General features: G+C 43.5%; 1 protein-coding gene across 10 annotated transcripts in view, besides 1 other annotated feature; it reads left to right on the top strand.

The window, feature by feature from the left end:
- Positions 1 to 25,370, top strand: part of MYOF (myoferlin) — a 175,906-nt gene that overhangs the window by 123,323 nt on the left and 27,213 nt on the right. For 8 of the 10 annotated variants that reach the window (XM_047425049.1, XM_005269694.6, XM_005269693.5 and 5 more), the window contains 14 exons: positions 2,164 to 2,337; positions 3,276 to 3,384; positions 5,124 to 5,201; positions 7,166 to 7,347; positions 7,441 to 7,599; positions 7,717 to 7,815; positions 9,043 to 9,204; positions 11,230 to 11,395; positions 15,080 to 15,156; positions 17,043 to 17,099; positions 18,848 to 18,859; positions 21,099 to 21,197; positions 22,966 to 23,091; positions 25,099 to 25,254. In XM_047425049.1, coding sequence (XP_047281005.1) covers positions 2,164 to 2,337; positions 3,276 to 3,384; positions 5,124 to 5,201; positions 7,166 to 7,347; positions 7,441 to 7,599; positions 7,717 to 7,815; positions 9,043 to 9,204; positions 11,230 to 11,395; positions 15,080 to 15,156; positions 17,043 to 17,099; positions 18,848 to 18,859; positions 21,099 to 21,197; positions 22,966 to 23,091; positions 25,099 to 25,254 — 1,656 coding nt within the window. The remainder of the gene's footprint in view (positions 1 to 2,163; positions 2,338 to 3,275; positions 3,385 to 5,123; positions 5,202 to 7,165; positions 7,348 to 7,440; positions 7,600 to 7,716; positions 7,816 to 9,042; positions 9,205 to 11,229; positions 11,396 to 15,079; positions 15,157 to 17,042; positions 17,100 to 18,847; positions 18,860 to 21,098; positions 21,198 to 22,965; positions 23,092 to 25,098; positions 25,255 to 25,370) is intronic. The other 2 variants (NM_133337.3, NM_013451.4) reach the window with 1 other exon arrangement.
- Positions 23,901 to 25,100: an enhancer, noted in NCBI's record as "CDK7 strongly-dependent group 2 enhancer chr10:95093669-95094868 (GRCh37/hg19 assembly coordinates)". NCBI's record gives its function as "activates an origin of replication core promoter dependent on BRD2, BRD4, P300/CBP, MED14 and CDK7 cofactors, with strong dependence on CDK7, by STARR-seq in HCT116 cells {active_cell/tissue: HCT116}" and the evidence as "EXISTENCE:reporter gene assay evidence [ECO:0000049][PMID:35650434]".

Genomic DNA, 25,370 nt, shown 5'->3' with positions numbered 1-25,370 from the left:
TATGCTCCCAGTAAATAATCTAGTCAAATAAATGAGCTAATGAATGAATGAGTCTTTTTTTTTTTAATTTAAGTTCCGAGATACATGTGCAGTACATGCAGGTTTGTTACACAGGTAAATGTGTGCCATGGTGGTTTGCTGCACCTATCAACCCGTCGCCTACATATTAAACCCAGCATGCATTAGCTATTTATCCTGATGCGCTCCCTCCACCCGCCGGCCCCAGTGTGTGTTGTTCCCCTCCCTGTGTCCAAGTGTTCTCATTGTTCAGCTCCCACCTGTAAGTGAGAACATGCGGTGTTTGGTTTTCTGTTCCTCTGTTAGGTTGCTGAGGATAATGGCTTCCAGCTCCATCCATGTCCCTGCAAAGGACATGATCTCGTTCCTTTTTATGGCTGCATAGTATTCCATGGTGTAGATATACCACATTTTCTTCATCCAGTCTATCATTGATGGACATTTGGGCTGATTCCATGTCTTTGCTATTGTGAAGAGTGCTGCAATGAAAATATGCATGCATGTATCTTTATAATAGAATGGTTTATATTCCTCTGGGTATATACCCAGTAATGGGATTGCTGGGTCAAATGGCATTTCTGGTTCTAGGTCTTTGAAGAATCGCCACACTGTCTTCCACAATGGTGGAACTAATTTACACTCCCACCAACAGTGTAAAAGCTTTCCTATTTCTCCACAGCCTCACCATCATCTGTTGTTTCTTGACCTTTTAATAATCTCTATTCTGACTAGTGTGAGATGGTATCTCATTGTGGTTTTGATTTGCATTTCTCTAGTGATCCGTGATGTTGAGCTTTTTTTCATGTTTTTTGGCCACATAAATGTCTTCTTTTGAAGATTTATCTGTTCATGTCCTTTGCCCACTTTTTAATGTGGTTGTTTTTTCCTTGTAAATTTGCTTAAATTGCTTGTAGATTCTGGATATTAGACCTTTGTCAGATGGATAGATTGCAAAAATTTTCTTCCATTCTGTAGGTTATCTGTTCACTCTGATGATAGTTTCTTTTGCTGTGTAGAAGCTCTTTAGTTTAATGAATGTCTCTCTATTGTTTAATTATCCCCGTCTGACAGGGTGAGAAGTTTCTGAAGGTGCTTGAACGCTCTTCTTCCACACGAGGGCACCAAGTTGAAGCGGGAAGAACACTGAGCCATCAGTTAGAAGGCTCAGGATATGGTCCAGTTCTAACGAGTATTTCTGAGGCTTTGATCATGTTTCCTAACCTGCCTTACTCTTGGCTATGTGAAATTTTTCACTGCTACTATTTATGTTACTAGAGGGTCAGGTACAAGATTATGCTTAACCTGCATTTTACATTTATTTAAAGTGAAAAAATAGACCCAACAATAATTACCCACATGGAGCTCTCACTTCTCAGGTCTTGAATATTATTCCACATTGTTTTACGTTTATTAAATCCAGTCATATTTTTAAGATTTTAAATCAAACTTCTGCCATGAAAATGTCAGCTGCATGAAAGCAAAGACCCTATCTCTTCTTCACTGTGTCCTCAGCCCCTAACACGATCCCTGTCACACAGTGGGCACTCATATTTGTCGAATGAAGAGAATATAACATTGAAAACTGATACCACTGGTAAATCAATAGTTCTTAAGCTAAAAAGTACCACACGAATTTGTTATTAGTTATTACAGAAATAACATATTCTGATCACTTAATTATCAGTTATGGCAGCTATTAGCTCAGGCAAGACATTTAAACCTGGGAGGGGGCATTTAATTTTTTTCCTACATATGTAAAATGGAGATACTAATGTTTTACAAACTATATCACAATAGCAACATTTTTATGAAATAATGAAGTGAGGAAACAGAAAGCAATTTGAGAAAGAATCCACTTGCTTCACCCACCCCCAAATCTGAATGAGGTGCACCTCCTGAGGGTATGTCCACGACTGTGCTGTCATTGCCTGGTTATCTCTCTGCACTCCTGCAGTCCATCAGCTCTGCAAGGCAGAGGTCCTGTCTGTTTTTTTCTTTTCTGTATTCCTGACTCTAGCTCAGTACTTGGCACAGAGTAGATTTTGAATACTGTGTATCTGTTGATTGATCATATAACCTGTTTTATCAAAATAAGGAATATCATCATCATCATCGTCATCATTAACATGTTTACTTCTGTTTTAGGCCATGGAGGAATTGCAAGACCAAGAGGGCTGGGAATATGCTTCTCTAATTGGCTGGAAATTTCACTGGAAACAACGTAGTTCAGATACCTTCCGCCGCAGACGCTGGAGGAGAAAAATGGCTCCTTCAGAAACACATGGTGCAGCTGCCATCTTTAAACTTGAAGGTGCCCTTGTAAGTACTAGGTTGCCAGAGCGCAGATCATATTGGTGTAGAGAAAATATATGAGTGTTGGATACAGCACTGCCAACTCCATAGAGGTCCCTGTAACCCTGGTACTATAAGATGGCAAATATTAACAGGTTGAGGGAAAGCCACACATCCTGGGTGCTCAATACCTCGTGTAGAACGAATAGACCATTAACACAGGAGTGTTCTAAGAAATACTGCTGTCTACACACCTGCTTTACCTAGTGTTTTCCAAATATATCTGTTCCAGGACCCTTGTTTCAGGTGACACCTATTCACATCCCAGGCACAAGTTCTTTGAATCACATCTTGGAAACTGCAACTGTTCAACAAAATATTCATATGTATATTCATAAATATACAGATGTCGGGGGAGGAAATCAGAAGTCTAGCTCACAAAATTAGAGAGCAATACGGAAGAACATACTGAAGCACAGTAAAGAAGTCGGGGGAAAAAGCAGGCAGGTGGAAGGAAGGAATAGGAGAATGGCAGTGGGTGATCTAAAACAATAGGGTGGTCAGGAGCCATTTCCCAACAGCCTATGTTTGTATTTCTGCACTCTGACCCCACAGTATTCTGCTGCTGCTGCTCTTTCTCTTCCTTATCCCATCCTTTTACTCCCTGTTTATCCTCTACATTTTTCCTTTTTTTCCCTTTCTTTCAGTAGCAGGGTTTGGCAAACCTGGACTGGAGGTAGGAGGGCTGGCTCCCACTTCCTGCTCGGCTGCTTTCCAGCTAAGCGACTTCAGGGAAGTCACTTGCTATCCTGGGACTTATTCATCTTTAAAAATGGGGTGTTTGCACGATAACATCTTTAAAAAGCTAGAATTCCATTTGTTATTCTTGCCTCTTGGTTGGTTGATTTGCTTTTAGGCAGTGTTTATTGACTTCTCTGCTAATTGACTCTGTTAATTGACTTCAGGGGGCAGACACTACCGAAGATGGGGATGAGAAGAGCCTGGAGAAACAGAAGCACAGTGCCACCACTGTGTTCGGAGCAAACACCCCCATTGTTTCCTGCAATTTTGACAGTGAGTTTTGTTTTATTTTTGATTTATTTTATTTTATTTTATTTTTTCAAGACTGAGTCTGGCCCTATCACCCAGGCTGGAGTGCAGTGGTACGATCTTGGCTCGCTGCAACCTCCCAGGTTCAAGCAATTCTCCTGCCTCAGCCTCCTGAGTAGCTGGGACTACAGGCGCACGTCACCATGCCTGGCTAATTTTTTGTATTTTTGCATTTCCTCCATGTTAGCCAGGCTGGTCTCGACCTCCTGACCTCAGGTGATCCACCCGCCTTGGCCTACCAAAGTGCTGGGATTATAGGCGTGAGCCACCACACCCAGCCAGCAGTGAATTTTAAACATGACTTTGTGAATTCCACTTCTGTAACTCTTATCTTAAGGAAACTCTTCAAATCACTGAATATGATTTTTAAAATCTCTTCATGCAAACGTGACTTTCATTTTCATCCTTGATGAAAGGAGTTTTTAAAACTACAGTTGAAAACCATATCACATATAAGGTGAAGGGTGGTCAGATCACTGATATTAACAGTCTATCTCATATGTGCTCATTCTGTCTAGTAAGCCCCCAAAATTAAAATTTTAACTATAGGAAAAAAGGCACCAAAATTTAAATAATGGTTGATTTCAATAATAATTTTCAGGATTTTTGGAATGAGACAGACCTGCTCTACAATAATATTAGCAAATGCTTATATAGGTCTTAGCATGGGCTAGGACCTGTACATATTATAACTTGTTTAATCCTCTTAACAACCCTGTAAGGTAGGTGCTATTATTGTTCCCGTTATACAGAAGAAGGAACCAAGGTACAGGAAGATTAAATAACTTGCCCAAAGTCTTATGGCTTGTAAGCACTAGAGAGATTTGAACTCAGGTAGTAGAGCTCCCAGAATCTGTGCACGGAATCATAATGCTCTGCTATCTCACAAAGAGAGAGAGAGAGAGAGAGAGAGAGAGAGAGAGAGTGAATGTGTGAGTGATAGAGACAGAGAGAATATAATAATAAAAGGAGTATGAATATTTTGAAATGTCAAAGAATCTTTTAGATGTTAACTGTTTCCCAGATCTGATGCTGAAGTAGTATAGAAAGCCCCGTTTCTATAGCTGCTGGAGACCCAGTTTCATTTTAAAGGTCTGTGATGATAAGCAGTACCCTAAATTCAGTTAGTTTATAACAAAGGTAATGTTTTCCTGATTGATACACTTTGCATTGAGCTTACTGTAGTATTTTTTAAAAATAGGATTTTTGTTTTTAAGACCGAGTCTCACTCTGTCACCCAGGCTGGAGTGCAGTGGTGTGATTTCAGCTCACTGAAACCTCTGTCTCCAGGGTTCAAGTGATTCTCGTGCCTCAGCCTCCTGAGTAGCTAGGATTACAGACGTGCACCACCATGCCCAGCTAATTTTTGAATTTTTAGTAGAGACACAAGTTTTCACCATGTTGACCAGGCTGGTCTCCTAACTCCTGGCCTCAAACAGTCTGCCTGCCTAGGACTCCCAAAGTTCTGGGATTACAGGCATGAGCCACTGCACCCAGCCTAAAAAATAAGTTTTATTTTACAGGAAATAGAACTACTTTGGGAGGCCACATCATCACTATTCTATGTGCTCTTTACTGTGGGGAACTATAATAGATTCAAGTGACCCATTTATCAGAAACATGTATTTTTTCCAAATATTCCAGTAAAATAGCAGTTTACAGTGTTACGCTTCTTGTAAGTAATCTTTATCCTGTTTTTTTAGGAGTCTACATCTACCATCTGCGCTGCTATGTCTATCAAGCCAGAAACCTCTTGGCTTTAGATAAGGATAGCTTTTCAGGTAAAGGAAAAAAAATCTACATGCTACACATGATTACATAGCATGCTATTTTGCTTCTGTGTTTCGAGTGAATGCTTTTTGTCATTTCTAACAACAAAAACCCTTTACATGTTGAGGTTATTTTTGCATGCTTGAAGCAAACTGCTCAGTCATTAGATAAATCATCACTGAATGCTTTAGGCACCATTGCTGGGTCCTAGTAATACATAGAAGATACTTTTGGTACTAATAGATATTAATTGATTAAGTAATAAGAAGCACCGAGAAAGTGATTTCTCATCTCTGTTTATATACATGGCTGTGTTTTCATCCCTGGACCCTCAGGTTGATTGGTAAGTTAAGATCCTTTAAGTTTTTTTGCAGGCTCTTTCAAGGTATCAAAAAGATGATAAGTTTGCCCATTTGCCTACAGCACCAGGCTTTGAGCAGTTTGGAGTTCATTTTAACCTCCTCCTCTGCCTGCTCCCCACATTCCCAATACCATAAAACCATGAGGCTTTTTCTTCTCTTGCACTGACACCCAGCTGCTTTTGTTGCTTCGGACTGGTTCTGAGAGGAAGGCTATTGGCAAGGGACAGGGGAGGAGGGGAGAACATGCCTGTCTGGGGATTTGAGTCCTTGCCGCTGAACCATGGATAGTTCAGGCTATCTGGGGAGAATTCCAGTTTGGGACTCAAAGCCCAGCAGAGTTTCCCTGGGCCTTCTATGAAAACACCTCTTAACCCATTTCCCATTTGCCCCGAGAAATGAGTGCTGGCAGCGAGCTGCACTTTTTTATTCCAAACGGAAAGTTTGTTAAAGCATTTGACTGACACTCTCATGTGCTCACATCAATTTTGAAGCGTGTTCCAAGCACTAATATTTACCAATATTTGTGAATGGTTTCCTTTTCTTAGAAATTTGAGCAGATTCAAGGTTATCTCTGCAATATACATCTCCAACAGGGTCTTTGAAGACATTTTCAAATATTTTCCACCAGGGGGCACTCTATCACTGAAAGTTAAAAAAACATCTTTCCAAAGTTCTTGACTAAAGCTTCATAAAACTCTAAGCACATTCCTTGCAGTTTGAGATAGAAGAATTATCATCAGGGCAAAAGCAAAGGGTTCATATGATGGCTCCACTGCTAGAAACCAAGCACTTTTGGCTTATACAAGAGTTTCAGGCTAGATATTGTGTTATTTTTCAGATAAGTCAGCCCCCAGGCAACTGCAAAAAGTTTGATGAAATTATTTAGCAAGGAGGAGAACATGGATTATTTCTCCATACATAATATTGCTTTCTCTCCATTCTTAAGTATAGTGAGACAAAGTTTTCTGCTGTCACAGATTGTAAACTCTATGAGCATCTGAGCTTTTCCGGCTGCTGTTATACTCTTGAGACCTGGAACTCAATAAATATTTGCTGAATAAATCGATTACCATCAACATTAGAAACAACTATAATAAAAACTAGCATTTATCAGATACTTCCTATAGGACAGGCTCTGTCCCAAATAGCTAACATTCCTTATATCATTTCATCCTCTCAACACCGTGAAGCAGATATTACTTTCATTGCATGGAGGAGGGGATCAACGTTTAGGAAGATTATTTTTTCCCTCAAAGTTATGCAGCAGGGGTGAAGTGTGGGTGTTGACCCCAGGTGTATCTGACTGCAGAGCCTCACTCAACCATGAGTGCAGTACTTTTGCAGAGAAAAACTATGGGCCCCATTAACCTTGGTGGGGACATACTCTAAAGAGTGACCTCTCAGTACACATCAGGGTCTCGCTTCAGGTGCCTCTGCTGCAGTGCCAGAACCTTCCATGGGGAACTCCCTGCTCCCTAGAAACCCTATCTCCAGGCAGGTGGTCAGAGCCCACTGTCATTATATCCAGAGGAAAAGAATATGGTTGCACTGAGTGGTTCTGGGGAGTTAGATTTTAGCCGTGGCCCCGTTGTTATTCTCTTTTTCTGTTTTAGATCCATATGCTCATATCTGTTTCCTCCATCGGAGCAAAACCACTGAGATCATCCATTCAACCCTGAATCCCACGTGGGACCAAACAATTATATTCGATGAAGTTGAAATCTATGGGGAACCCCAAACAGTTCTACAGAATCCACCCAAAGTTATCATGGAACTTTTTGACAATGACCAAGTGGTAGGTCGTTTAGAATTTCTAAGATAACTTGGGGATGATGGAGATTTGAAGGGATGATTGTCGGGGAATTTAAGGATCACTTTGTTTCTCTAGGGCAAAGATGAATTTTTAGGACGAAGCATTTTCTCTCCTGTGGTGAAACTGAACTCAGAAATGGACATCACACCCAAACTTCTCTGGCACCCAGTAATGAATGGAGACAAAGCCTGCGGGGATGTTCTTGTAACTGCAGAGCTGATTCTGAGGGGCAAGGTACATTGCTGTGTTCTTCCTCATGTATTCTGTCAGCTGCTTAAAATGCATGTTAATTCTAGGCACTGTTTGCTTGAACTAAAGTGAGGCATTGACATATCCATGTTTGTTTCACAGGATGGCTCCAACCTTCCCATTCTTCCCCCTCAAAGGGCGCCAAATCTATACATGGTCCCCCAGGGGATCAGGCCTGTGGTCCAGCTCACTGCCATTGAGGTATGCTGCTCCCCACGTGTTACTCATCAAATCAAACGGATGTGACTGCAGGACAGGAATCTTTTGTATAGAACATAGAATCCTGCTGCATATTTTCTTGCTATCTCCAACTTCCTTTACAACTTGTCCAAAAACTGGAGGTATTCATGGGAGTAGAAGGCTTGTTGAAGCAACAAGGACAGGTCAATTCTAACATTCCTGAGGGCATCTAAACTCCTCATTTACTGGGAGCCAGCAGGTTTCTGAGTTTTTCAGGTCAACTGGAGACCTGGGAGAGGGAAGATGGACGAGAAGAGAATGACGGTGTATATGCTGAGAGATGGGGGCATGGCAGGGAGGCAGAGATGGAAGTTGGATGGGAGCAGTGAGCAATGTTGACATGTCAGATACAAGCTGATGACCCCAACAAGGTGGCTTGATAGACAGTGTCTGGCCCACTCTCAAGACTTTCCCCGTCCAGTCAAGCAGCTGTTAACACCCCAAGATTTCCCTTCTCTGGCTGTCCTGCTAAGAGTTCTCAAAGGCTGAGGCTATCACTTCGAAATGCTTCCATGTCAGACACCGTGTTAAGAAGTTTACAGGTGGGCTGGATGCAGTAGCTCACGCCTGTAATTCCAGCACTTTGGGAGGCCAAGGCAGGTGGATCACTTGAAGTCAGGAGTTCGAGGCCAACCCGGTCAACATGGTGGAACCCTGCCTCTACTAAAAATACAAAAATTAGCTAGGCATGGTGGCACACACCTGTAATCCCAGCTACTTGGGAAGCTGAGACATGAAAATCACTTGAACTCAGGGGGTGGAGGTTGCAGTGAGCCTAGTTCGTGCCACTGTACCCCAGCCTGGGTGACAGAGTGAGACTCTGTCTCAAAAAAGAAAAAAAAAAAGTTTACAGGTGGTCATCAATATAACCCTATGACAGATAATACGATCAGTCTTGTTTGTAGATGAGACATAGGGAGGTGAGTTACCTTGTCAGCATTGACACAGCTATTAGATGGCACAGCCAGGATTTGATTCCTATACTCTTAACTGCATTGCTTTTTTAGGGGCTCAGGCAGGAGAAAGAAAGGGGCAAAACCACTTTCTTTGGATGACCTACAAGCTTACTAGGATAATGTTCAAATTAATCTTAAAGACTTTGCCAGTAATTAAGACAGAATTTTTCCTTTTGAATATTATTTTTAAAGTGCTGAGTTACCTTCCCCTCTCTTTAAATCGTTTTCATAGATTCTAGCTTGGGGCTTAAGAAATATGAAAAACTTCCAGATGGCTTCTATCACATCCCCCAGTCTTGTTGTGGAGTGTGGAGGAGAAAGGGTGGAATCGGTGGTGATCAAAAACCTTAAGAAGACACCCAACTTTCCAAGTTCTGTTCTCTTCATGAAAGTGGTACAGTATCGATTCTCTGTGATCACCCATGCGCGTTGAAATATGAAAGTATGTGCCTCACACACACACACACAAACACAGAGTTTATTTCCAAAACCTGACAAATAGAAAAACCCTGCCTTATATTCAGCTTGTCAGTGACTTTTTCCCCTTAAATTCTCCCACTGTAGTGATGATTTCTTAAAGCTTCAAAATAACTCCAGTGGCACAGAAATATCTGTGAGCAATACTTACTTATTTCTCCAGTAAACTTTCCATCTATTCAGCTATCTATTACAAGCTGTTGGTCAACCCCATGAAGGCAGAATATTAACCCCCAGTCATGCATGGACCAGATATACCCCCTACAACTGTGCATGGACCAGAACCTTCTGGATAAGGACTGGCTGTCTGGGGAAGGGGCAGCTGTGGGGGAAGGTATATGGGGTGATAGGGCCATGACCTTGGCAGCCCATAACTGTGCCCCACCTCCAGGTGCCCCTGGGATGGCACCTTCTTTGGTCCATTGAGGCTACCCTCTGGTTGTTAAAGATGTGAGAGCATCAGATCCAGTTCACAGCTCTCCATCACAGACCCCATAATACCTGGGGTGAGAAGAGGCCACCCAGTCTTTCCATTTTTAAAGCAGTTAATTTCTTAACTTTAAAAAAAAAATCTTTCTTTTTTACTCTATTATATAAATAGGTGACATAAAGACAGTTTCTTACCTTGAAGTGTTGGAAGACCTAGAACCTTCCTTTCCCCACCCCAGTCATTTTCCTGACCTTGATGTCTCCAATACAGTGCTCTTGAACTCTAGGGTCACGTGCTTTAACCTCTTATTTTACATTACAGAGGAGGAAACTGAGGCCTAAAGAGGGGAAATGATTTATCCAGTGTCATAGTGTTAGGCCACACCTTCTATACCACAGTGACTATGTCCTAACTAGTGACAGCTGCAGTGTAGGGCTTGGTGCATTCTTACTTGGTACACCTCGTCTTTAATCCTGCGGGGTGAACATTTTCACCTCTCTTATGCCCACCTTGGGGAAAAGCAAGAGGTAACAGATTTACACAAGGGGATGTCGCTAGCAAGTGAGTGGCCAGAGTTTGCACATAGGTCCTTACAACCCCAATGCCCATGCTCCCCTCCCTATCATGCGACAGACGGCGAGCCACCGGGATGCTGCCAGCCAGGGTCCCAAAGTGGTTGTCCCTGGGCCACTCCACCTATCCTTGTCTACTCCCCACACCTCCCTCACCTTCCAAGTTCTAGTCTGGAATCTAGCCTTGGTCAGCAGAGATGAGAAAAACCACTCAGGTGACCCCAGTTTCTATTCCTGTGTCAAGCCAGAGATAGAAATTCACCTGAACCACATACCAAATGGGCCCCTAGGTCAGCTCATGATTCCCCAATCAGGCATTGTCACCAAAGCCACCAAATTCCATGAGAGGGAGCCAGGGGGAGTTGAGGAGAAAGTAGCAATCCATTTTTACACTGAATTTCCAGGGCAAAGAGACTCTCAGCCACAGTTATTTCCCTTAGAAGTTCAGTTTTGTCTTGACCATTTCTAAAGTCTGCTCAGAACTTGGCTAGTAGATGACCAAAGCCCTGGGCTAGTTAGCCTTGTGCATGTCCCCTCCCAGGAAGCAGAGCACAGGGAAGAGTATAGGGCAGTGACTGAGAGTAAAGAGCATGGGTCAGTGATTCCACACTTACAGGACACAGCATGGGTCAGGTACTATTCTAAGTACTCTTCACATAGAGTAATTCAACAATGTTACTATTACTCATGAAATAATGGGGGCATGGAAGGGTTAGCCAGGTAGTTCATGGTGGCAGTGCCAGGATTTGACCCAGGCAGTCTGGCTGACAGCTCACGCTCTTAAGCACGGAGCTCCTTGCCTGGCACATGAGTAACTGAACTATTGCGAGTCCTCTGGGCTGTGTGGCAGAGAGAATCTGGACTGGTCCATCTGGGGAATTTTTCTCAAAGCTGCCCTCGTCTGGTCTTGAGAAATGAAACCTACCTTTGTGACCCCCAGTTCTTGCCCAAGGAGGAATTGTACATGCCCCCACTGGTGATCAAGGTCATCGACCACAGGCAGTTTGGGCGGAAGCCTGTCGTCGGCCAGTGCACCATCGAGCGCCTGGACCGCTTTCGCTGTGACCCTTATGCAGGGAAAGAGGACATCGTCCCACAGCTCAAAGGTAACATGCAAGGCTGTGCATAAGTCTGGGGGCTTTTCTTTTTTTTTTTTTTTTTTTTGAGACGGAGTCTCGCTCTGTCGCCCAGGCCGGACTGCGGACTGCAGTGGCGCAATCTCGGCTCACTGCAAGCTCCGCTTCCCGGGTTCACGCCATTCTCCTGCCTCAGCCTCCCGAGTAGCTGGGACTACAGGCGCCCGCCACCGCGCCCGGCTAATTTTTTGTATTTTTAGTAGAGACGGGGTTTCACCTTGTTAGCCAGGATGGTCTCGATCTCCTGACCTCATGATCCACCCGCCTCGGCCTCCCAAAGTGCTGGGATTACAGGCGTGAGCCACCGCGCCCGGCCGTCTGGGGACTTTTCATGCATGGCTCTGATTTACTCTTTACAAACCTACTCAAGGTAAGTCCTGGATTCATTGTCTACATTTTACGGATGAGCAAACTGCGTGAGTTGCGGTGGGTTATGGCACTTTCCTAAGGTTCTATCATTCGTAAGTGGCAGAGCTGGGCTGGAATCTCGGCCTTGTTTTAGGGGTGGGTGGCATGCTCGAGGGATTCCTCTCTGAAGCGTCCTGCTCCTGGGTGAATGTAAGACTTCTTTTGAGGAAGTGTTAAGTGCTCATGAATGTTCCCTATTCACCTTTCAACAAGCAGCTTGCAAAGCAGGGAGAGCTGTTCCCACATCAGTGATGGGGATGAAGTCATTTCCTCTGCCTTTCACTGAATGGTTAGGAAGCACTCACTGACTGCCACGTGCTGTTCTAGATATCTGGGGACAGTGGGGACCAAGAAAGGCATGTTCCCCTCTCACAAAGCAAAAGTCCAGCAGGGAAGGCAAACGAGGAAGTGTGCAGTTGCAGTCCAGTGTGATAAATATCTTGATGGGGAAAACAGGAAGCTCCCTGACCCCATGAACACTGAGAGAGGAGGAGATTTTATTTCAGATTGCTTTCCACCTGTTGGCCTACCTCATTATCACATATAATTAATATGTAAATGATAGAGCAGGGCATAATACTTACTTTAGATTTCCATAATAAATAATAGCTAGTGATACAGCATTTTGCAATTACCCATTCAATAGTTACTTGCTTTTAGCTTACCATGTGCTAGGGACTGTGTTAGGGGCTGGGGGCTACATTGCATCAGTGCAAGAGATCCCAGGGCCCCTGGCCTCATAAATTAGACACCGTGGGAGGGCTGGAACAGCCTCATTCGGCTGATCCTTGGTGGCTTCAAGACTGAAGCAGATGTCTTCTATTTAAGCAGCTGTGTCACTAACTAGTTCCATTAAAACTTTCATAAGTGTGAGTACTGATTTTACAGAGCCTCTGAAATTCATCTGCTGTGTAGGTCTGACTAAGCATCCTGGATCCCTGATTCAGAGAAGAGGAAAAAAATCCACAGTCACATTTAAGCAAAACTCTACATGTGCTTATTAAGAAATGTCCCATATAAAACATTTTATGCTGAATTGACGGTGCCTAAAATAGCATTTTTGATAACAACAAGGATTGTTGTAATTGCAGGAATTGTTTCATTTGAGGTTACTAAATGGAGAGAAACCACTTTCCTGGCTTTTTTTTTCTTACTGTTTTCATGAGAGAAGGTTTTTTGGTCCAAATATGTGAAATCACCCAGAGGGTACAAATGCTACACGCTTTCTCTGGCCCCAGAATCACTTACGTGGACCTGTTTGTGTCTATTGCTCAGGGGTGGGCTGGGTCTAAGGCAGACTGCCCTGGCTAGCAATTCTATGTAATCAATGTAGAGTGTGGTCAAGGCTTCAGAGAGCCCCAGAAAAGGAAAATCTGGTCCTTTCATAAAACCAGTGATAGGTTAAGAGTTGAGGGCACTTGGATGGCCTCATGTTGGAAGCACACAGAATAACTTTCTCCTCCTGTCCCTTGGGCTTTGTTTCCATGAGGAGGGTGAAGTGGAGAACTGATCCTCTAGGAAAGAACTTATGTTCAGTTGTGTTCCTGTGACCCTGCCCTCTGGTTGTCTTGTTCTGTACTGTTGGACTTGTCAGGATCTGCAGGGGAGCTTATCTTGGAAGTGTAGAGACTGCTTACAGGTCTAGGGGTGCCACGTGGATCTAAAACTACCTCACACAGTAACTGATATATCACAGATGCTCAGGAAATGTCAGTCTCCCCTCCTCCCCGCTATCCCCCTGATGGTTCCTCCAGGCTCTGGTGTGGTGGTTAAAACACAAGCTTTGGAGTCAGCCAAACCTAGGTTACTTACTCCCCAACTTACCACTAATTGTTTCACCTGAAGCAAGTGACTTGCTTGCTGTTAGCTTCTGTTTGTTTTAAAATTTTTAAAACAGGGATAATGGCACATATTCTACAGGACTATTGAGGTACTAAGTGAGGTCATGTAAGTAAAGTGTTTAGCTCAGTGCCCAGCACATGGTGGGTACCGAAAAAGGTTTGTTGTTTCTCCTCCTTTATGTCCTGTATGTCAATTGCCAGGGTGGTTAAGCAGAAAGTTCTGTTGGCTTGGCAGAGTTTGTTCTGTCTAGGTTCTGGCCTTCTGTTAAATGTCTTCCTGTTTGGTGCTTCCTCAATAAATGGGAGATGTACCTCTCATCCTACCCCCGCCCCAGGGTGAGGCTTTGGTATCCCCCACCCCTTTAGCTGAATCAAATGTAGTAAGCCCAGGGACTACTCCTGAGTCCATGCTCTAACCCCCAAATCCTGAGTCACAGATATTCTGGGAATTGTACATAAAGTCAGGGCATGTGTCTTCTCCCTCTGCATACGCTGTTGAGAATAAGGGCTGAATAAGCCACTGCAACCTCAGGCCTGAAATATACAACAATCCACCCTGCTTTTCTTTTCCTTTCCTTTCCCTTCTTTTTTTTTTTTTTTTTTTTTTTTTTAATTTAAGTTCTGGGATACATGTGCAGAACGTGCAGGTTTGTTACATAGGTATACACGTGCCATGTTGGTTTGCTGCACCCATTAACCTGTTATCTACATTAGATATTTCTCCTTCCCCTGGCCTCTCACCCCTCCTTTCCCTTCTTTTTCTTATTTTTCTCTTCTTTATTTTCTGTTTCTTAGGAACAAACTTCAAGAAAAGAAGACTCCTTTAGATGTAGGCTCTCTGTATGTTCTCACTTATAAGTAGGAGCTAAGCTATGGGAATACAAAGGCATGCAGAGTGGTACAATGGACATTGGAGACTCAGAAGGGGGAGGGGGATAAAAGACTGCATACTGGGCACAATGTACACTACTCAGGTGACAGGTGCACTACAATCTCAGAATTCACAACCATATAATTCATCCATGTAACCAAAAACCTCTTGTACCCCAAAAGCTATTGAAATTAAAAAATGTCGGTTCCCCACTTACTCCTGCACCCTCTAAAGACATGTATTGACACAATTGTTTTTTGAGCACTTTCTGTATAGGCACTGGACTAATTGTCTAAAAACAGTAATGAACATATAATCCCCTAGAAAATGTCTAAAACCATATTATGTTTGGGGAAACGTGATGGATTGTTGGTTTATTTTCTACATTCAGGAGTTGTCCTCTCTATTCTGTAAGTCCCATCCAAGAATAAACTCTACCATCCACCCTATGGCTGTTAAACTTGAACTTGGAGTAGAATGTTCACCACTGTATTTCTCTAAGTATCTTAGATTAAGAAAGTATTTGTCTTGCAGCCTCCCTTCTGTCTGCCCCACCATGCCGGGACATCGTTATCGAAATGGAAGACACCAAACCATTACTGGCTTCTAAGGTAGGCTTCAGAGCTGATCAGTGGATGCTGTCAGTTTTATCTTCTATGCTTAGATGTCTAAGCATTTGGTGAATTCAGTCAAACAACAGTTTGTTGCAATTATAATCATCAGCCAATCCATTTATTGAGGACTGAGTACAGACAAGAGTCTAAATCTTGCACTCATCAACAGTTATGATGACATTGTGTAGACTAGTAGTCTTCAACCCTCACTAATAAGTCACCCAGAATACTTAAAATAAAACCCATGCCCAGGCCCCACCTCCCAAGAGGGAGAGGGACCTAGATATCAGTATGTTTTTAAATCTCCTCAAATGATTTTAATATGCTGGCAGGTCTGAGAACCACAGGTGTGGACAGTCTGAGAAAGATCATTTGCTAGAAAGCGAAGTCTGAGAAGCAAATTTATAGCATTGCAACATTCAGATCAGAGATAACATGCAACACGCCAGATTCTTCCCCCTACATAAAGCAGAATTGTTTGATAAATTTCTAATGACCATATTTATCAGTGTATGGGACACCCAGGTTTTTTTATTTTCACTGTGGTTTTGAAGTGAAGAAATTGGTTGAAATAATCACTCAAGGCCCTATTTTAGAACTAGCTATTCCAGCCACTTCTACACGAAGGAAAGGGGGCAAAAAGCCTCAGCCCAGAAAAAAGGAAACACCAAATATCTCCCTGTTTCTCTTGGCAGTTATGATGAACATTCACAGCGTGTTTTAATGTGCAAACTAGCCCAAAAATGCACATGATTGCACTTTAATATGTTATGTCCATAAACAGTGCCTTAAAAAAAAAATCTACTTCCATCCCACTGCATTAAACTCACTAACAACTGGACCATATAAAATATAGTCTCCACAGCCAGCACTGTGCAGCAGTGTGTTTGATTCTACTCTCTGTGAATCCTACACAGTCACAAACGACAATATCAAATTTCCAATCTCATGGGCCAAAACTACTGTGATCACTTTGTAAACCACCCCAAATATCCCTAATAAGATAGTAGTAGCCTTGGCAGAAGTTAATATACTTAAGATCTTTTCTGTAGATTTTTACAACTGCTCTAGAAAAAGACAGTTTAAGATCTCGCTGTATAATCTGCCTCCAGGTTTGCCATCTCTCATCGTCAGTCAATTCTTATTACATGCCTTCAGTGTACTCAGTAGCCCTAAGAACAACTGAGGAACAGGAGAAGAATAAAGTCAACAAGCTATGCCAGTATTTTCGTTCACTTCTTAACCATAGTTAAGAAATGTGACTATGTTACTGTAGCAACACTTTATGAAAGTTCAGTTTACATCATAGAGTTAAACATTGCAACATAGCAGGATTGGTGATGGTAGTATCAGTCATTCCCACTGTATTGTAAATTGCTTTAATCAGCTCGCTCTCCTAACATCTAATTGAGGTACACTGTGTTGATAAGAAAGGCTGGTTGAAATCTCTAAAAATCTGAGTCCACTTGTTCATCACAGTAGACATCGCACATCTGTACAAAGTCAAATGAACAAAGTTGCACTTTGAAAGAGCCAATAACAAGCTTGCTGATGTCCTGTATTACATGTATATGTAATGTACATGTAATGTGCATGTATTACCACTTCCTCAATTCAGGCCTTGTATCTGGGTAAATGGAGGGAATGCCTCAAAAATAACTATGCTGTTGCTGGGGGCTGGAGGCTGTGTCTCTGAGTGACAGTGTCACACTCCGGAAACTCATGGCATTACTCTGTGATGTCCATGGAAATTCTTAACAAATGGGCTGAGCACTATCACAAGAAAAGTGAGAAATAAGTCTTCGGGGAAAATTGGTCAAGTGCTAGCCAGATAACATGGACATGTGTACATGGCCATCTCAACAATTACCTTCCAATTCCAGTGCTTAAGCAGTATGTCAACAGCACTCAGCAAAATGGCTTCTCCAGCGACAGTGCATGTATGTATGATAAGCAAATGCATGAGGCTGCCTGGGACTGTGGGACCTTGGCCTAAAGACTTGAATTATTCTTACAACTCTTTCCATTAGTAGATTTTGGAGTGAAAAGTGATCTTTAAACAAACGTGATTGTTTTAAGCCTAAAAGAAGAATCTTCTGTGCCATTTAATGATTTGATTCCCATTGCAAGTTTATTATTAGATATAATAAAGCAAGTCACATCAGTTGCTTCCATAACCTTTCCACATGAACTAATGATCATGTAGGCATGAATAAATTCTCCCATACTAATTCTAAAGTTTAAAATCAGCAACTTGTCTTAAATAATGCCTTTTAGGCCGGGCACAGTGGCTTACGCCTGTAATCCCAGCACTTTGGGAGGCTGAGGCAGGTGGATCACCTGAGGTCAGGAGTTTGCGACCAGCCTGGCCAACATGGTGAAACCCCGTCTCTACTAAAAATACAAAAAATTAGCCAGGTGTGGTGGCAGGCGCCTGTAATCCCAGCTACTCGGGAGGCTGAGGCAGGAGAATCGCTTGAACCTGGGAGGCGGAGGTTGCAGGGAGCCGAGATCATGCCATTGCACTCTAGCCTGAGCAACAAGAGCAAAACTTAGTCTGAAAAAAAAAAAAGCCTTTTAAATCATGAACTATTATTTTCCTTGAAATGGTTTGAATTGTGAACAAACAGATTCTAAAAATCTGATCTCAGGAACCATTGAGAATGTAAGAGTACTTTGGAAATAAAATCACTCTCTCCAAAATCTCAATTCAGCTGTGATGATTTAACCCTTAATCTTGCTTTGGTATGAATCTAATAGAAAGAATTGATATATCTATCTGTCCCTCTGCCTCTCTTGGCAATTGCATTGTGCTGAACAAAAATCAATCTGGAAAATACCAAGGGGCACCTACGGAAGCAGCTCCATGGCCTCTCACATGGCAACCGGAGGAAGAGCCCTTCAGGATGAACATAAAGTTAGGATCTCAGAAAGGGGTCTAGGCAGCATGTCTTCAAACTGCTGCTGAGGACGAGCTTGGCTAATGCTCTAACAGATACCAGAACCACATTCAAGCCCCCCTTCCCAGTTCTTCATTCTCTCATCTCCTGGATGGGCCCTCAGATTGGGGTGGGTTCTCCATTAAAAAAAAATCACATGAAAGGATTTGGCCAATGGAAACTTGACATCCTCATAATAAAGCAGTTTTGATGGATGAGTATTTATTTGGTGCTGTAACATAGGCATGGCTGGGGGGTACCTGTATGATAACATTGCAGTCAAACATATCTTGTGACAGGACAGTTTTTTGTGGGGAGGAGAATTAGACCAAGTTCGGAGATATATTTAAGGAACTAAAACGAACGTAAGATCTGGGGTAGGGGGATGAGCAGCTCCACACCCTGCTCCTGTGTGAGCTGTGTGCTCCCGACTGGGAAATGTCTAACTCCATCGAAAACATGAGATGAGGGGCAGGGAAGGGGCTACTTCCAAGCCTTTCATTATAATACTGTGTGTAACCTTTTGCATATTTTCAGAAAAGAAACCAGTAAGGTGGGTTCAGTTGTGGGCTCATCCTGACTTAGAAAATTTTAAATAATTTAGCCCATTGAAATGTTGATAATATAAGGCATGCATGAATAATAATTTTTGCTTCTTTCTCTTTAAACTTCATGTTCCTGGGGTCTCCATATCTATGTGACCTGTTATATGGTTTGCCCTCTTCCTCACGGGACATGTGCACGAGCAGCTGACAGAAAAGGTAACTATGGTATACATTTTGCTACATTTAAGATTCATGTATTTTCTGCCCAGAATTTTTCTTTTCTTTTTTTGAGAAGGAGTCTCGCTCTTTCACCCAGGCTGGAGTGCAGTGGCGCGATCTTGGCTCACTGCAGGCTCCGCCCCCCGGGGTTCACGCCATTCTCCTGCCTCAGCCTCCCGCGTAGCTGGAACTACAGGCGCCCACCACCTCGCCCGGCTAATTTTTTGTATTTTTAGTAGAGACGGGGTTTCACCATGTTAGCCAGGATGGTCTCGATCTCCTGACCTCGTGATCCACCCGCCTCAGCCTCCCAAAGTGCTGTGATTACAGGCGTGAGCCACTGCGCCCAGCCTGGGAATAATTTTTTTCTAAATCTAGGGGGGCCGGGCACAGTGGCTCACGCCTATAATCCCAGCACTTTGGGAGGCTGAAGCAGGCAGATCACTTGAGGCCAGGAGTTCGAGATCAGCCTGGCCAACATGCAAAACCCTGTCTCTACTAAAAATACAAACATTCACCAGGCGTGGTGGTGAGTGCTTGTAATCCCAGATTTTCGGGAGGCTGAGGCACGAGAATCACTTGAACCTGGGAGGTGGAGGTTGCAATGCAGTGAGCTGAGATTGCACCACTGTACTCCAGCCTGGGCAACAGAGCGAGACTCTGTCAAAATTTAAAAAAAGAACTAAATCCATGTGTAGGTTGCTGACCCATAAAGGGGAAGTAATTCTGTGTAAGTATGTGTAACACACACGCATTCACACACACACACACACACACACACAAATAAGAAGCATATAATGTAACATATAATATAACATGAATAAAAAGTAGCCTTTTAAGGCCGGGAGTGGTGGCTCACGCCTGTAATCCCAGCACTTTGGGAGGCTGAGGTGAGCGGATCATGAGGTCAGGAGTTCGAGACCAGCCTGGCCAATATGGTGAAACCCCATCTCTACTAAAAATACAAAAAGTAGCCTCGTATGGTGGCACATGCCTGTAGTGCCAGCTACTCGGGAGGCTGAGGCAGGAGAATCGCTTGAAGCCAGAAGGCAGAGGTTGCAGTGAGCTGAGATCATGACACTGCACTCCAGCTGGGCAACAGAGTGAGACTCCGTCTCAAAAAAAAAAAAAAAAAAGTGGTAGCCTTTCTTGTCCCTTCTTCCTTTCCCCCAAGAGGCTCTACTGCAGGTGACATTCTGTGTTTTTTTGTTTGTTTTTTTTTTTGGCGTTATTATTTCCAAGGTAGGTTAAAATAAGCAAAGAGGGGGTCTGATAAGAATCTATTCTTGTTATAAATCTGAGTGGGAGGCCTTCTATAGTTTGACAATATTCCACAAGTGACTCTGACATGCTGTCCCTTCTGCCCAACCAAGGACTACCCATTCAAACCAGAGATTCCCAACACTGTCTACGTATTGGACTCTCCTGGGGAACTTCTGAAAGCTTATTGGATGCCCTGGTCTCACCCCAGACTGATTGCATCTCCTAGGATAGGTTGGGAGCCCTGGTCTAACTGAACCATGATGCCTCCTGCCTTTCGTTTCACGTTTTATAATTTTCAAAGCTCTTTCTCCTAAAGATCCCATATGATTTCCAGAACAACTTTTGGAGGTACATGGAGGCAGGTAGATGAAGGCAGCATGTGAATGCTTTGTCCATTGTGTTATTATTGCATTCAGTGGATGAAGAAATTGATGCTCAGAGATGTTAAACAACTTGCCCAAGCCAGTACAGCTTGAAACATAAGGGTATGGCTTATAACATAAAGGAAGGAACTTGAATTAAAACCAGTTTTTCCAATTTTTAGCTAGTGAGTATTGTATTACAAGGCATTACTGGCTAAAAGGGCTAAGAAAATGAGATAGTAGAAAACACATATTGGAGGTTTTCTTTAAATTTATATGTATATGTAAATATGAAGTCAATAGAATAAAAATGTAAAAACCAACAAATTAATAGACTGTGTGTAAAAGACATAAGAACATTATCTAGTATGATTGTGGGCATTAAAGCCAAACACATTTCATCGGCCCAGAATGGCCATTTCACCTCTAGCTTCTGAGTAGGAGAGTCGTGAATGCTTTGTCCATTGTGCATGTAAACAAAAGTCATATAATCTCACTTTTAACAGGGTCAGAAGAACCTATTTCTTCTTAACTATTACAAATGCATTTTCCTGCATCGATTGGAAATCCAGGACATCACTAAAGATTTTTCCATTTTGGCATGTCTTTAGGAGGAAGAAATCGTGGACTGGTGGAGTAAATTTTATGCTTCCTCAGGGGAACATGAAAAATGCGGACAGTATATTCAGAAAGGCTATTCCAAGCTCAAGGTACCTGGATCTATGCTGCTATGGGTGGAGAATCAACATCCTTTGAAACTGGCCACAGGCAGAGCTAAGAGGATGACTAAAAGGTCCCTTGGGTGGGTGCTAATGAGCAGGGCCCAGGAAAACCTCTGTCTTCCCGGAGAGCCCTCTTGCATGAGTTTCGGCTTTGCCAAGATTCCAGGGACTTGAGGACAGCTATTGAGTTATGGTTACGTGACTGCCACATTGGGGCTTGGAGGCATCTGGCAGATGGTTGGGAATGGGCTGGCACCACACTAATTAGGCCACGATGATCCAGTTTGACTCAGGGAAACCCAGAAGTCATAGTGCTCTTTGCAGAATGACACAAGATGTCAACATGCTTTGTTGTGTACTTTGAACAGGGATTGGTTTCACAAGCTGAAAAGTTGAATCTGTCACATGTATGCAGCATAAAATCACAGCCGTGAGAACATGTATACAGCAGGAAGACAAGCGACTGAGCTAGGCACGGCTGACTAGCTCTGAGCTTTCTGTTCATGTTTTGAATTTTCTAATTCTTCATTCAATTTTCAGCCTGTAGTGTCCTCAAGCAGAAGCAGTGCTAAAGTTTTCAGAACAGTGTATATGAGAAAAAAAAACTTTAGAATGAGAAATATCTGGTCATTGAAATAATTTTCCCCATCAAAGCAAAAAAAAAAAAAACCCACACCTTTTCATGTTATTGTCATAACTTCTCAGTGTAGCTTAAGAAATACTAGCATATAAAGGACCATTCATTCAGAAAAATGATCCAATGAGGCTGAAGGATCAGCCTCACACTCCATCCTCCCTCACTCCCTCTTCCCTTCCTGCCTGCCTTCTTTTCCTCCTGCCTGCCTGTCTTCCTACCTTTCTTTCCTTCCTTCCTTCCTTTCCTTCCCTTCCTTCCTTTCTTCTCTTTCCTTCCTTTCTTCTCTTTCCTTCCTTTCTTTCCTTCTTCCTTCCTTCTTTTCTTCCTGCCTTCCCTCCCTTCTTCCTCCCTCCTACCTGCCTCCCTTCCTTCTTCCTTTTCTCCTGCCTTCTTCCTTCCTTCTCCTCCTTCATCCTCTTCCCTTCTTGCTTTTTAAATTGAGAAATATTTTACATACGATAAAGTGATCCATTCAACAAGTTGTGATTATTGTATATACCCTATGTGAACCACCACCCAAAACAAGACAGAACATTCCCATTCCCACAGAAAACTTCCCCGTGTCCCTTTCCAGTCAATTTTCCACTATCCTCATCCCTCCTAGGAGCAACTGATTGGATTTCTCTCACCACAAACTGATTTTGCCTGATTTTACACTTGCTCTAAATGGACTTGTATGATTTATGTTTTGTGTGTCTGGCCTTTTATCCCCACGTTGTAGTTTTGAGACTCATCATGTGGTTGTGTGTATTCATAGTTTTTCCCTTGTCATTGCTGAGTAGTATTCCATTGTGTGGATATGCCACAAGTTATTTTTCCATTCTCCTGATAATGAAGCTGCTGTGAACATTCTTCTACCATGTGTACGTGTTTTCACTTGTCATCAGTAAATGCCTAGGAATGCAATCTCTAGATCATAGAATAGGTGGCTACTTAACTCCAAAAGAAACTACCAGACATTTTCCAAAGTGGTTGTATCTGTCTACACTCCCGCCAGCGATTTGGGAGTTCCGGTCGCCCCATCCACAACCTCAGGCCCACTTGATACTGTCAGCCCTTTTGATTTTAGACCTTACCTGCATTTTAATGAGAAATTAAGACTCTGTTGGTGGTTTTCAGATATATAATTGTGAACTAGAAAATGTAGCAGAATTTGAGGGCCTGACAGACTTCTCAGATACGTTCAAGTTGTACCGAGGCAAGTCGGATGAAAATGAAGATCCTTCTGTGGTTGGAGAGTTTAAGGTGAGTAAGATGTGTGTTGGTCCCGTTTAAAATCCACCTTCATTTTCTATATAGGCCTAGAATAAAGGACAACCAGGCTCTAGGGAGGGGCACATCCTGCAGCCTCTGAGGGATGCTGGCATTTTCTATATAGGCCTAGGATAAAGGACAACCAGGGTCTAGGTAGGGGCACATCCTGCAGCCTCTGAGGGATGCTGGAAGGTGCCAGAAAGGAAAAGGGGGAGGGGGGCCAGAGCACTCGAGCCATCTCCGCATCTCTTCCTGCCTCCCTGCTCACGCCAAGCAGCCTTGACTGAGCCATCTCCGCATCTCTTCCTGCCTCCCTGCTCACGCCAAGCAGCCTTGAATCCTAAGATACAGTCTCTCCAAGATCTAGTTCCTCTCTTCATCCTACTGCCCCTACCATGCTTTCAGCAGGATCATCGTGACAACTTCTCACTTGACAGTCCTTGTCACCTTTCTCGTCACACTCCTCTCCAGCCTCCATGCAACCAAATCTGATCTTCTCTCTGGACTACTGAAAGGCTTTGCTTGGGTTTTCACAGTCAAGTCGCAACTCCTTTCAAAGGCAGAGCCAGTCTTTCCCAAGCTACATGGTCCCCTGCCTCCCTCCCCCTCACACACTCCACCCTCCTGCCTGGGAGAGCCTCGCCCAAGCCCCGGACACACCTTGTCCTCTCAATAAGTCGGAGGCTTGGGACAGGCTCTTCTTCCTTCCCTGGGTGCCCTTTCTACCTGCTTTGTGGTCTGACGAAGTCCTACTCATTCTTTTAAGCGCCAGCTCAAATGTCACTCTCTTTGTCAAGTGTTCCCTGATTGCTTCGGGCAGCGTGACTCACTCCTGCTCTGGGCTCCCACAGGTCTGGGTTCATGCCTCCATGAAAGCATCTTACACATGGAAAGTATCTGCTTTATAATTGCCCCTCCCTGCAACCACGCTTGGCAAAGTCATGGCAGATGTGCTGCTGCTGCTTTATAATCCTTTGCCTGTAGCAGACATTGCTAAGGGACGAGAGGATGATGCCTGATGTGTGGTCTCAAATCCTTCTCAGTACAGCCTCCCACCAAGCAATCACATATGGCACAAGAGCCAACCCTACTGAACATCGCTGTGCCAGACGGGAGTCTTTGAGTTCTTTTGTGGGTCCCTAGTACCTGGCACATAGTAGGTGCTTATTCCATGCTGCTTGACTGAATAAAGACCACTGGAACTAAGACCTGTATGTTCTGAATCCGGCTTCAGTGCTTTCTCCTGGTTTTAAGGCAAAATATGTGGCCTCTCCAGCAGGTCTTGTTGGCTCGCTCCTTCAAAATACAATTTTTGTGGCGTTACTATATGCCTAGTCCTGTGTTAGGCCCTGGAGATAGGGTGATGAACAAGACTTTATGCTCCCCTCACCCGTCTCTAGAAGCCCACAGTCTAATGAAGGATCTAGAGAATAAATAGATTATCTCAATGCAGAGGCCAGTGCTGTGCCAGGGGTGAGTATGGGGTTGGATGAGAGCACCCAGAGGACATACCAAGCCCAGGAGCAGTCAGGGAGGTTTCCTGGAGGAAGTGACACCTTTCAGCTGAGATTTGAAAGATAAACAGGAGTTTGCCTGGGAGTGGGAGGTGGAGTACAGAGGTGCTACAGGAAAAGCGGAATCACTGTTGGTATTTCGTTGGGTTTAAAATGTAATTATTGTTATTCCTATCTTCAAAGAATGTGCAGTATTTCACTCTTTCTCACCACCACCTCCTCCATCACACTGGCCCATGTTCTCCTCTTGACTCCCAGTTTCTGCTCTGCCCTCTCTTCTCCCCTGTGAGCTCTCAAATAATTACTTGAGAATCATTTCACTTTCCCTACTGGAAATATGCAAAGTGCAATATACATTATTTCTTTCACAAAAGGCAGCCTTCCATCCTTCAATCCCACACCCCTGGCGGAGGAGGGGACTTCCCAGGAGCCCTCTACCTGGGCCACCCAGGGCCCTGTGAGTCCTTCTGTCTCTCTCTTTTAGGGCTCCTTTCGGATCTACCCTCTGCCGGATGACCCCAGCGTGCCAGCCCCTCCCAGACAGTTTCGGGAATTACCTGACAGCGTCCCACAGGAATGCACGGTTAGGATTTACATTGTTCGAGGCTTAGAGCTCCAGCCCCAGGACAACAATGGCCTGGTAAGAGTTTGGGTGTGGGGCCTTCTCCTGTAGCAAGATAATTACAGTCATCAGCCACAATAATTGTCATGTTCTTTCTTTCTGGGCGTCTGTTATCTCACTAGGGGAAAGATACT

This window comes from Homo sapiens, chromosome 10 (assembly GCF_000001405.40).
Source record: "Homo sapiens chromosome 10, GRCh38.p14 Primary Assembly".
NCBI classification, from domain to species: domain Eukaryota; kingdom Metazoa; phylum Chordata; class Mammalia; order Primates; family Hominidae; genus Homo; species Homo sapiens.
This window is presented reverse-complemented; position numbering and strand designations above follow the sequence as displayed.